Here is a 12,484-nt window from a genome sequence, read left to right as displayed (position 1 = left end):
CTCCTGCTCAAACACCAGCTGAACATGGTGCTTTTATTATGCTAAGCACTGTAAACCTATAACTGAGATACTTAGGTGGGTACATCAAGCTTCTGGGGAGTTTAGGGGAAAATAGGACATCATATTTTACATGATCCAGCCAGGAAAACAGAAACACCCTAGATGTTTCAAACAAAGTGAACTTAATATAGGGAATTGGTTAGCTAGGCGATGGGAAGCCAGATAGGAGTCAATGAGGCAATCAGAGATTAATAACAATAAGAAACCAGTACCACCTCTACAGCTACAGGGAAAACAAGAGGAGGTGATATTATCAGAGTCCAGAAGCCAGCACCGACTAGTGGGAGATGTAGCAATGGAGGAGGCTTCCCAGAGGAGCTGGGACCATACAAAGAAGAGCTGGAGCCGCAGAAGAGACTCAGCTCCTCCCAGAGACACCAGAGGAAGCAGAGAGAGAAGGAGAGAAATACACTCGCTTCTCTACTCCCTCCAACCTTGCACTAGTGCCTCCCATTGGCTAAACCTACCCAGAAGCCAGAAGGCAAGGGACTGTGGGAAATGCAGTTCTCTGCAATGCATAGCTGAGAGTAAGAGCAAGGAATGGTGCCCAGAACAGATAGGCAGTAGTCAAACACAGGTATTTACATAGAAAGGTAGCTAATACATGAGTGTTAAGGGGGAAAATGACAAAGAAAAATAGAAGATCACCAAGCACTGAGAAGACTGGAGAAACCTTGTTGAGTTAGGATCTCAAGACAGGACTGAATTGGATAAAAATAGCTGAGGGCTATTAAAAGATGTCTCAAGAAATAAAAGAGTGAAAAGGACGGCCATTTGTTAAACCCCTTTGCTACTGAATTCTCACAACAGAAGGCAGGTGGTAGCTCTATTTTTAAATGAGGCTAATATGCCTATGGTTATTTTTCATTTCCCCAGCCCACATTCATCCTCTGTCCTTTCTCTATGCCCTGAGAGGCTGACCCCTGCAGATTTCATCTCCTGGACTTCCTTCTCTGCTGGTTTCCAGTTAGGTTTGGCCAATCGGAGGCATCAATGGGAGATTAAACGTTGGGAGAAGAGCAACATTCAGGGATTCCTTCCCCAGTCCCTCTGGCAGTAGCTGCATTCTATGCCAGGTGGTCCCTTGTCCTGGTTCTGGGTCTCACTGGGCTCTGGGAACACTGTTTTCTCTGCCTGTTCCTTCGGCCTTAAGGCAGGTAATGATTCCCCACTGTTAACTAGTGTCTGAGTGCCTCAGCCTCTCTTATTTGTTCCATGGGTCCCTCCAGCATCTTGTTAAGTAGTTCTTTCATTAGGTCTGCAGGGAATTCTATTCCTTCTGATACCTACAACAAGGATTCAAATCCAGATCCAGAAAATTCCAAAGCTACTAACCACAGGCAGTGTTTTCAATCCAATATATTTTAGTAGAATATATTGGATTCCAATCCAATATATTCTAACTGGAAGTAATCTGTGAATTTGGTTTTACATTTTCTCAGGAGATAAATCTTACCTAGTGAGAGTAATAAAAGTAAAAAGTATATGTATAAGGAAAGAGGTCAAGACAGAAAGAGAGAGAGCTCACATATGCTTTATGTTTTCTTATCTGTTAATATTTTGTTGGTCCAATAACCCTATAAAGTAAGCTGGAAAAGAGAATTTTATCCCATTTCCAGAGACACAAGAACTGGAACTTACCAAGGTTAACCGCCACGGAACCAAATCTAGAACATAGGTTCTGTGTCACATAGTGTCAGACTATGGATTCTGTGTTCTCTCCTCTTTGTATATGATGCATGTTATAGATTTCTTTAAATGGTGATTAGTGGCTCAGTTAATTACCTAAAATAATATCAATTTTCATTATGGTGTTTGCCTGAGTGACTTCTAAAAAATGCTGCTATTTCCTATTTAGTGGTTGTAAAAGACATATTTGTGCAGTCAGTACTTTTTAAAATCTTGTTGAATCAGCTAATAACATGCACAAGCATTAGAAATTATTCATTCCTAATAGGATTTTCACATTTATATGCCATAATCACTGGAAAACGAAATCTCTAAATATTTATTCACAGTAAGAATTTGTGTATCTAGTACTGTAGAAAACAAAGACAAATAAAACATGTCGTGATCACGTCACAAATTATTCAAGGTGTTAACTTTCCTATGTCGCTTGTTGGGAGGCTACAGTGTCCCAGACAGTACTTCTGGGGAGTGGCTCAGAGCAGTGGTTCCTAAAGCAAGGAATGAGTCTAGCTGTGTGCTTGGGACATGTCAGATGCTTGATTCATGTTTGACAAATGGATTATTTTTTAAGCTGCCCAATATACCTTATATTCATAGTTGTCTGATTTGGTTTAGTAATGGCCAGTGTTAATTGAGCACTTACTACATTCATGTACTTTGCATGAGGTAATATGGGCACAAGAACCCCATGAAATAGGTAGGACTATTGCACTGATTTACAGATGAGAAAACTAAAGCTCAAGGTAGTTAAGAAACTCAGCAAAGGATACACAGCTAGTTAATGAATTAGATTTCAAACCAGATTGTCTGATTCCAGGTTCTGGAATCCCATGCTCTTAATCATTAAATTACACTGCCTTCATTCCTGGAGTTATGTATCATCAATAAGTGTTCACTATTATTGTTACTGCTATTGTTGTCATTATTATTGAATCAAATGAGCAAGACAGCAAGTAAAGGATATGGTGTTATCCAGAGAGCTTTAAGTAGGTGGTTAACAGAAAGTGAGAAAAGGCAATCCTTCCCTCCTCTTTTCCAAGCATATTCCTAGGGCTCTCTTTTAGCTTTCTCTTCCTTTTCAAACCTATTCTTTACATTTTGGGATATATTGGAGAGAGTTAAAGGAGACGGGGAAAAAGGCAAAGGAAAAAAGGGAAGGAGTTAAACTGTTTCTTAGGTTGAGAACTTGCAACCTTTAAACATGAAAGTATTATTTTTTTTAAAGATAAACCCAATGTTAAGTACAACATAAGGTCATGGGAATGATTTCTGAATGCCTGTACTTGCTACATGAAAATCACTGGGAAAAAAAGAAAGCATTTCTTCAAACAGCTTTTTTAAGAGATATGAACCATCTATATCATCCATCCTCCAAACACTCTTCTTATTTCTAAGGAGGTAAGCAAGAGTCTGGTTCATAAATGGTTCATATTAATTATATTTGGATGGTTTATTTATATTATTTATGATCTGAGTTTTTTAAGAAAATATTCAAATATGCTTTCACGGATTCACATAATAGTGTTAGAAACAGTGAGGTAACCAGGGAAATAAGAGTGGCACACACACCAATTTGTTTAAATAAAACTTATAGTACAACAACGTTGTTTTCCTAAAGTATGTCTCTTTAAAGTTCTGTGGCCTCATGTCATTAATGCAGGCAAAGCTTGCATGTGAATGTCATAGCACATAGCTCTTTATATTCATGTTTAAATTATTGTGGTTTAGTATGGTCAAGTATAAGTTACATACTTTTATGTTTGCTTTTACAATATATTGCTGGGATTATTCATGATTTATTCAGTACTGTCACTGGTTGTAAATGTTATTCTTTGGGGATAAAACTCATTCCCCACTCTTCATGTTGCGTGTAGAGGGACTTCTTTAGAAAACCATCACTGGCCTCTCTCCCCATTCTTTACTTTTTGGGAGGACTTTTCTAATTCAATAATCTTGAAATTAACTTCACGTGCTTGTCTCAAATCCTTCTTTTCTATTCTCCTTGGAAGCTGCCAGTTTGCAGACAGGCTGTTTTCCGTCCTCTTCTTTCCATCAAGGAGAGAGCTTGCCAGGGCAAGCAGGGTAGGCCCACCATTTAGGGGGAGTCAGTTTCGTGTATATTTAGGCATGTATTCACAAGTCCATATGGGCACTTAAGCCAGGTTGTCCAAATAGGCTTATCAGTATTCAAAGTGATATTTTGATCTCCCTCTTCCAGATTCCTCTGCCTATCTGTTGTTTGTGAAAACATGAGGGAGAGAAGAGATGTCATTTAACAACCTCAAATCCCAACAGTACTTCCATTTGTAGCAGTAATCCTGCAGGAAAAGGAAATTTCTTTTTCTGTTGTCTGGTTTATTGTGTGGTTGCAAGCACTTGTAACCCTGGGTTTGGGACTGCCTATGCCCTGGCTGTGTGCTTGCTCCTGGTTGGATGGGTTGTCTGACCTCTCTAAGCCTAGTTTCTTTACCTGCAAAACGGGGCTCTAAGAGTGCTTACCCTACACAGAGTGAAGAGCAAACACAGTAATGCACTTTGGACAGCCCCTGCACAGGGAATTGACTGTACAGCTCAGTAAATGCAGACTAACACGGCCTGTCCCTACACCAGCACTAACGGCTGCCTGCATCTTAAATGCTTCTGTCTGATTTTTAAAACCAGCAACGCAGGGAGAAATACTTTGGGAGGTAAAAAAGAAGAAAATGAGAAAGGTGATTTCATAGAAATCAAAGTACATTGTTAATAACATTTCTTGGCATTTGTGTAATATTAGGTGGGCCAAAGAAACCCACTCGTGGTTCCCAAAGTGTGTCACGACAAAATCCACCAGCTTGCCCGAAATGTTAACGGTCAATGTGATGGCTGGTGCGATCTCGCCCTCTGGTGACGGAAGAAGGTGATGCTCAGATTTCACAATTGGGTATCTTGACAAAGCCATAATCCTGTATTGGAATGAAAAGAGACATGGGCATCATTGTCAGTCCCATTCTACCATGCACTGGGACTAAGCAAATGCATTAAAAAGGGATGTGTCCCACTGCACACATCCCACCAAGGGACATTCAAAGCAATGCGGCAGAGACTTATATGGCAGTCCATTTGTCAGATCATTTCATCTGATAGCATGTCTCACTGTGTCACTAAGGAAACACCATCAACTCTGTTTTAATAAGTGCTATGGACACATGAAAAGGGCAGCATTAGTAATACAAAAAACCCATTGTATTTGCAGTTACTCTGGCAACACATTTGCATAAACAATTCTAATATTAATCAACACATATGGGAAGGTACAATCTTGCCAGCTAGAACATGGAGTAACAACTTACAAAATTAGAAATGAAAAACTGTCCTATAGGCATATGAAAAGGCATTCCACCTCACTCTAAGCCACAGAGCTCAGTCCTTGGCAGGCTTCTCTTCCATAGCTAGACGCATTCTCTGTCACCTTCATGGAGTCTCTGAGACAGGTCTATCTCTATACGATGATAGCTGAAGGTACATCTCCAGCCTGGTCTGTCCTTCTCAGCCCTCCAGGCCATACCCAACTGCCTACTGGGCATGACTTGACTGTCTTGGGGTATCTCACACTTAGCACAAACCTAAAGGTCTCCTGATGGTTCCCATTCCATTAAAGGGTATCATCTCTTAGCGGGTACTCAGGTCAAAAACCTAGACATCACCCTTGATTCTTCCTTCCCCTCCCCTGACATCTAAACTATTGTAAGTTCTGTTGGTTCTATTCTAAAATAGTTCCTGAGTTTGTCCTCTTCTCACCATCTCCACTGTTCCCATTGTCATCTCTCATCTGTGCTATTCCACCTATCATCTCTGCCTCCTGGCTCCCACTCTTGCCCCTGAGAATCTGTTCTTCCAGATCACTATCCTGTTTAAAATCCTCCAGTGGCTTCCAATCACAACTGGATAAAATGGAGCTCTCTATGATCAGGTTCCCATCCTTGACTTCCTTTCTTACCAGTTGCTCTTTGGCCCCCCATGCTCCAGGCACACCAAGATGGATCCTGCCTCAGTCTTCACCCTGACTGTTCCCTCAGCTCTTCCCAAGGCTGGTCCTGGGTCCTGCTCACCATGATATCTTTGCAGAGACCTTCCTGACCACCCTACCTATAGTAGCATTTCCATGGCCACTGCCCACCCACTTATTCTCCCTCAGTGGTTTCTTTTCTACACAGCGCTTATCATGATTGTGAAGTACCTTATTTATTTTTTTGTGTACATGTTGATTTTCTGTCTTACACTGGAAGGTAAGCTCCATGAGGACAGCATCCAGGCCAGACATGCTTGGTGCTGCAACCTCAGCTCCTAGATTGATTGGTTTATAATGCTGAAGAACTGGAAATATCCAGCCACAGAAAAACCATTTGAAAAATTACAGAATGTGCATATCTCCAGCACCTCCTCATCCCCCAAGAAGCATCACTGGGGCACATTCACCAAAGATATTACAATATCAACTTGCCACTCCAAGCCTATGCAGCCTAGCCTTTCATGACTATCTTCGGGATTAACTCCCAAGGTATACTCACCCCCAAGTGTGATACCTTGTGCTTGGACCAAAGTCTGTATAGAAACCCAACTTTTCCCCTAGCCACATGGTTAAGTCATTGTTCCCCATATAGGGCTTAGAAGCATCACTCTCCAAAATTGTTATGAAATCTGCACCTGTTCAGAAAAAAAAAAGTAGCATACAGTGATGAATCACAGCAAGGCAAAAAACAATTAGCAACACTTTACTCTTGACCCTTAACCTTTTTTTCTTTACTGATAAACCCAAAAACAAAGTAATTATTAGTGAGTCACTAGAGAGAAGTGGCTCAAATCTGAGCTCTAAAGGAATTTCCCCACGTTTAGAATGCAATTAAAACATGAAACACCTCCAGGAACTACCAAGAAGGATAAAAATTTTCAAATGTGCTCAACATCATTCCCAAAATTTCAAATAATCTTAATGCATTTCTCAAATATCCAATTTATGTTCAGAAACAAGAGAATGGTGCACCATAGCATTTTATTCCAGCACAAACAGCTCCATAGTACTGACCCAGAACTAAGTTGATTGGCTTTATTAGATCTTGACCAGGTGTGCCTTGGAAGCCTGTAATCAGACTAAAAAAGGGCTAAGGGGCAAAAAAATGTCTTAGTGGTATTACATCCATATAGACACTCATATGTCTCAGGAGGCACGCTTATCATTAAGAATAACCAGAACAGGTTAGTCCTTTACTTATCCTGCTCCATACACCCGTAGTTGGTCTACAAACCAAAAACACTCTCAGATTTCAAAGATGCTTCACACAAAAATGAGCACCCCGGAGCACTGAAACAAATCAAATCGGCCCTAGGCCTGTTGAAAGCAATTTGCTTCACAAATCAACCTCCCTCTGACCCATGAAGGGGGCCAGCCCCTCCACACCTGTGGGTATTTCTTGTCAGGTGGGATGAGAGACTGAGAAAAAAAATGAGACACAGAGACAAAGTATAGAGAAAGAACAGTGGGCCCAGGGGACCGGTGCTCAGCATACAGAGGACCTGCACTGGCCCCAGTCACTGAGTTCCCTCTGTATTTATTGATTACTATTTTCACTATCTCAGCAAGGGGAATGCAGCAGGAGAACAAGGTGATAGTGGGGAGAAGGTCGGCAGGAAAACGTGAGCAAAGGAATCTGTGTTACAAATAAGTTCAAGGGAAGTTACTGTGCCCGGATGTGTAAGTAGGCCAGATTTATGCTTCTCTCCACCCAAACATCTCAGTGTAGCAAAGAGTAACTGAGCAGCATTGCTGCCAGCATATCTCACCTCCAGCCACAGGGCGGTTTTCTCCTATCTCAGAATAGAACAAATGTATAATTGGATTTTACACCAAGACATTCCATTCCCAGGGACATGCAGGAGATGGAGGCCTTCCTCTTATCTCAACTGCAAGAGGCCTTCCTCTTTTACTAATCCTCCTCAGCACAGACCCTTTACGGGTGCCGGGCTGGGGGACAGTCAGGTCTTTCCCTTCTCATGAGGCCATATCTCAGGCAGTCTCAGTGGGGGGAAACCTTGGACAATACCCAAGCTTTCTTGGGCAGAGGCCCCTGTGGCTTTCCGCAGTGCATTGTGCCCCTGGTTAATCGAGAATGGAGAATGGCGATGACTTTTACCAAGCATAATGCCTGTAAACATATTGTTAACAAGGCACATCCTGCACAGCCCTAGATCCCTTAAACCTTGATTCCATACAGCACATGTTTCTGTGAGCACAGGATTAGGGCTAAAGTTACAGATTAACAGCATCTCAAGGCAAAACAATTTTCTTAGTACAGATCAAAATGGAATTTCTTATGTCTTCCTTTTCTACATAGACACAGTAACAGTCTGATCTCTCTTTCTTTTCCCTACAACCCATTCTGCCTTTTGATCCAAGTCTTCTGGTCCCCAACAGTGGGTCCCCAGGTGACAGAAGCTACTAGCAGAGGCATCCCTAAGAACAAAAACACAACATGAATCCCCTAAAGATACTCAGTATGAGGAGTTGCTCAGAATCAACTGAATTAATTGCTCTCAAACAAAGACAGGAGTGGTTACAGAAGCTCAGTCCCCCTGCAGCTGCGTGCCAAAGTAAAGCATTTTTGAGGTGAGTTTATGATCATCTGCTGGTCATAAATTTAATCTAATACCTGCATTAAGTTATGGCTTATGACCCTGCTGAAAATAAAAGTAACAATAATAGTTTCTCAAAACCTGGAACTAATTCCAGGAAGACTTACCTGTTTCATTGAGCAGGTGAGCTGATCTTTCTAGACTAGACCACCCTTCATTGTCATATCCAAACCTGAAAGGCCAGATGGCAGCAGAGACCTCTTTGGTTGGTGCCTGAGGAATTGTTTTAATGGTAGTTTAGGATGACTGTGAACAATGGCAGTTTCAGTGACCCACTTTTCTCCACTCCTCTCTACCAAATTTCTTATTTCAGCAAAGGAATTTCCTTAGACATTTTCCCACATTTAATCCATGAAAATAAGGAGATATTTGCTATATGGCATTCTCAAATTAGTCTTCTGTGAACTTCTAGCTTAAGTTTGGAAGTTAGGAGGGATGTTTGAAAAGTGAGTTTTGTAATAAGCACTGCTTATAACAGTAAAAAGTTAGAAACAGCCTGGCTGTCCATCAACAGGAAAATGAATAAACAAATGGTGCTATGTGGAATGGAACACTACACAGCCCTAATAAATGAATTAGGGCTACATAGGTCCACAAGGAGGAATCTCAGAAAGATGATTTTAAATTTAAAAAAAAAGTATGTTGCAAAATAGATACATCAGATGTCATATAGAAAAAAATATTGTCTAGGGATCTGTCATATATAGTAACAATAAAAAGGAATTCATGAAAGTGCTAAAAAAAGTCACAATACTCAGGATAGTGTTTACTCTTGCATGGGAAATAAATCACACAGAGGGATACAGAGGGGCCTTCAACATATTGAAGAAGTGGTCAGCCTATTTTAACCTAGTTATGAATGATGTAACACCCTTGCTGTACTGGAAAGGTCAAGGCCCAGGAGCACAGCCCCCTTTACAAGGTCCTCTCTTAGGTCGTGAGTGAGTCAGATAATGCGCTGCCCAACCCTAAGTATCCATCTCAAATGATTACCTACTAGGGTAGTGGGGAACTCAGGGAGGGAGGTGGCAATGGTTAATGGGTCAAAAAAAATCAGAAGAATAAGACCTACTATTTGATAGTACAATAAGGTGACTATAGTCAATAATAACTTAATCGTATATTTTAAAATAAAGAATGTAATTGAATTGTTTGTAACCCAAGGGATAAATGCTTGAGGGGATGGATATCCCATTCTCCAAAATATGCTTATTTCACATTGCATGCCTTTATCAAAACATCCCATGCACCCTAAAAATATATACACCTACTATGTACTGACAAAAAAATTTAAATAATTTTTAAAACGGTAAAAACAGAAAAAAATCTAATGACTGCCTGGTAAAGAAAGGAGAACCATCAACAGAGATTTCAAGAGACATATTATATTTATCATGCTATCCTTTTTCTTACAACTATTCATCTGTAATTAATTCTAGATGTCATCACTCCAAAATATGTTATTCCTTCATTCTTCTCAGGAAATGCCACCTCCCTTCATCCAGTTGCTCAAACCAAAAACATAGAAGTCTCCTTGATTCCTTCCTTCTCCTCACCCAACAACATCTACCCTCTCAGCCAATCCTATCGGTTCTACTTTCAAAATATATTCTAAGTCTATCCATTTATCTCCAACTCTACTTCCATTACACCAGCAAAGATCACCATCATCTCTCTATGAGACAGCTGAAGAAGCCTCAGAACTTATCTCCTTGCATCCGTTCTCATCCCCTTATAATCCATTTTTCACAGAGCAGCCAAATTGACATATATCATTTTTCTTCACTCTCCTGCTTGAGGCACTAGAGTGGCTTCCATTGCAAGTAAAATAAAATCAGCATGAGAATGTAAATTGGTACAATCACAATGGAAAACAGTTTAGAGATTCCTTAAAGAACTAAAAGGAGAACTACCATTTGATCCAGCAATCCCACTACTGGGGATCTACCCAAAAGGAAAGAAGGCATTATGTTAAGAAGACACTTGGACACACATGTTTACAGCAGCACAATTCACAATTGCAAAGATATGGAACCAACTTAAGTGCCCATCGACCAATGACTGGATAAAGAAAATGTAGTATATATGTACACCATGGGATACTACTCAGCCATGAAAAGGAACAAAATAATGTCTTTTGCAGCAACTTGGATGGGTCTGAATGCCGTTATTCTAAGTGAAGTAACTCAGGAATGGAAAACCAAATATCGTATGTTCTTACTTGTAAGTGGGAGCTAAGCTATGAGGATGCAAAGGCATGAGTTATACAATGAACTTTGGGGACTTGGAGGGATGGGTGGGAGGGGGTAAAGGATAAAAGACTACATATTGGGGATGGCAGGAAAATGACAAATAGGAGGCAAAACTAACTTGCAGCTCCCACTTCAACAGAGAGAGCAGCACACGGAGACCCACACCATGAACTTTTGCTCCAAGAACTACCACAGGAACATGCCAAGAAAGCCAAGGGAATCCACAGACCCTTTGAAGGAAGTGTATTGTTGCTGCAGGGTCCATGGGACAGCCAAGGAACTATGAGTTGGCTTGCTTTCTCAGCTGGGAGGCTTGTAGCCTGGGGCAAGTTCCTAGCCCTGCTCACCGGCTGCCTGGGCATAAACTCAGTGCTGTTGTGGGGGCACGGTTGGAGTGAGACCAGCCTTTCATGCTGTGGGTTGCATGAGAGCTGGGTGAGGCCTGTGGCTGCCGGCTTTCTCCCACTTCTCTGGAAACCTGTGTGAGACAGCAGAGGCAGCAATAATTCTCCTGGAAACATAACTCCATTGGCCTAGGATCCACACACCCATCTCCCACAGCAGCTACAGCCGGCCCAGCCCAACGAGAGTCTGAGCTCAGACACACCTAACCCTGCCCCTACCTGATGGTCTTTCTCTACTGGCCCTGGTAGCTGAAGAAAAAGGACATAATTTTGGGGGAGTTCCATGGCCCCACCCACCACCTGATCCTGCCTATACTACCACAGCTGATGTGCTCTTGAAAGTGCCACACCCTGGCTGGAGGCCAACAAAACCAGCACACTTAACAAAAATACAACCAATGACCCTCTCAGAGTATGCTTCACTCCTCTGCTACCTCGACTGGAGCAAGTGCTGGTATCCATGGCCAAGAGATTTGAAGATGGATCACATCATAGGATTTTTTGCAGATACTCCCAAGTACCAGCCCAGAGCCCAGTAGCTCTGCTGGGTAGCTAGATCCAGAAAAGAAATAATCACTGCAGTTCAGCTCTCAGAAAGTCCCATCCCTGGGGAAAAGGGGAGAGCACCACATCAGGGGAGCACCCTATGGGAGAAAAGAATCTGAAGAGCAGCACTTGAGTCCCAGATCTTCCCTCTGACATAGTCTACACAAATGAGAAGGAACCAGAAACACAATTCTATTAATATGGCAAAACAAGGATCTTTAACACCCCCAAAAGATCACACTAGCTCACCAGCAATGGATCCAAACCAAGATGAAATCACTGAATTGCCAGAAAAAGAATTCAGAAGGTTGACTATTAAGCCAATCAAGGAGGCACCAGAAAAAGGTAAAGTCAGACTTAAAGAAATAAAAAAAAAAATGATACAGGATATGAATGGAAAAATCTCCAGTGAAATAGGTAGGATAAATAAAAAACAATCACAACTTCTAGAAATGGACACGCTTAGAGAAGGGCAAAATGCACTGGAAAATCTCAGCAATAGAATTGAACAAATAGAAGAAAAAACTTCAAAGGTTGAAGACAAGGCTTTTGAATTAACCCAATCTGACAAAGACAAAGGAAAAAAAATTTAAAAGATAAACAAAGCCTCCAAGAAGTTCAGGATTATGTTAAATGACCAAACCTATGAATAATTAGTATTCCCAAGGAAGAAGAAAAATCTAAAAGTTTGGAAACAGATTTGAGGGAATAATTGAGGAGAACTTCCCTAGCCTTGCTAGAGATCTAGACAACCAAATACAAGAAGCTCAAAAAACACTTGGGAAATACATTGCAAAAAGATCACTACCTAGGCACATAGTCATCAGGTTATCTAAAATCAAGACAAAAAAAAAGAATCTTAAGAGG

At 41.2% G+C, this 12,484-nt stretch overlaps 1 protein-coding gene across 7 annotated transcripts in view; it reads right to left on the bottom strand.

The window, feature by feature from the left end:
- CWH43 (cell wall biogenesis 43 C-terminal homolog) overlaps nt 1-12,484 on the bottom strand; it is a 75,805-nt gene that overhangs the window by 24,823 nt on the left and 38,498 nt on the right. For 5 of the 7 annotated variants that reach the window (XM_011513755.2, XM_011513758.2, XM_011513757.3 and 2 more), the window contains 3 exons: nt 8,523-8,628; nt 6,297-6,432; nt 4,485-4,691 (listed from right to left, as the gene is read on the bottom strand). In XM_011513755.2, the coding sequence (XP_011512057.1) occupies nt 4,485-4,691; nt 6,297-6,432; nt 8,523-8,628 (449 nt within the window). The remainder of the gene's footprint in view (nt 1-4,484; nt 4,692-6,296; nt 6,433-8,522; nt 8,629-12,484) is intronic. The other 2 variants (NM_025087.3, NM_001286791.2) reach the window with 1 other exon arrangement.

Source organism: Homo sapiens, chromosome 4, assembly GCF_000001405.40.
Source record: "Homo sapiens chromosome 4, GRCh38.p14 Primary Assembly".
NCBI classification, from domain to species: Eukaryota; Metazoa; Chordata; class Mammalia; order Primates; family Hominidae; genus Homo; species Homo sapiens.
The sequence above is the reverse complement of the archived record's forward strand: the minus strand, read 5'-3'. Positions and strand labels throughout refer to the sequence as shown.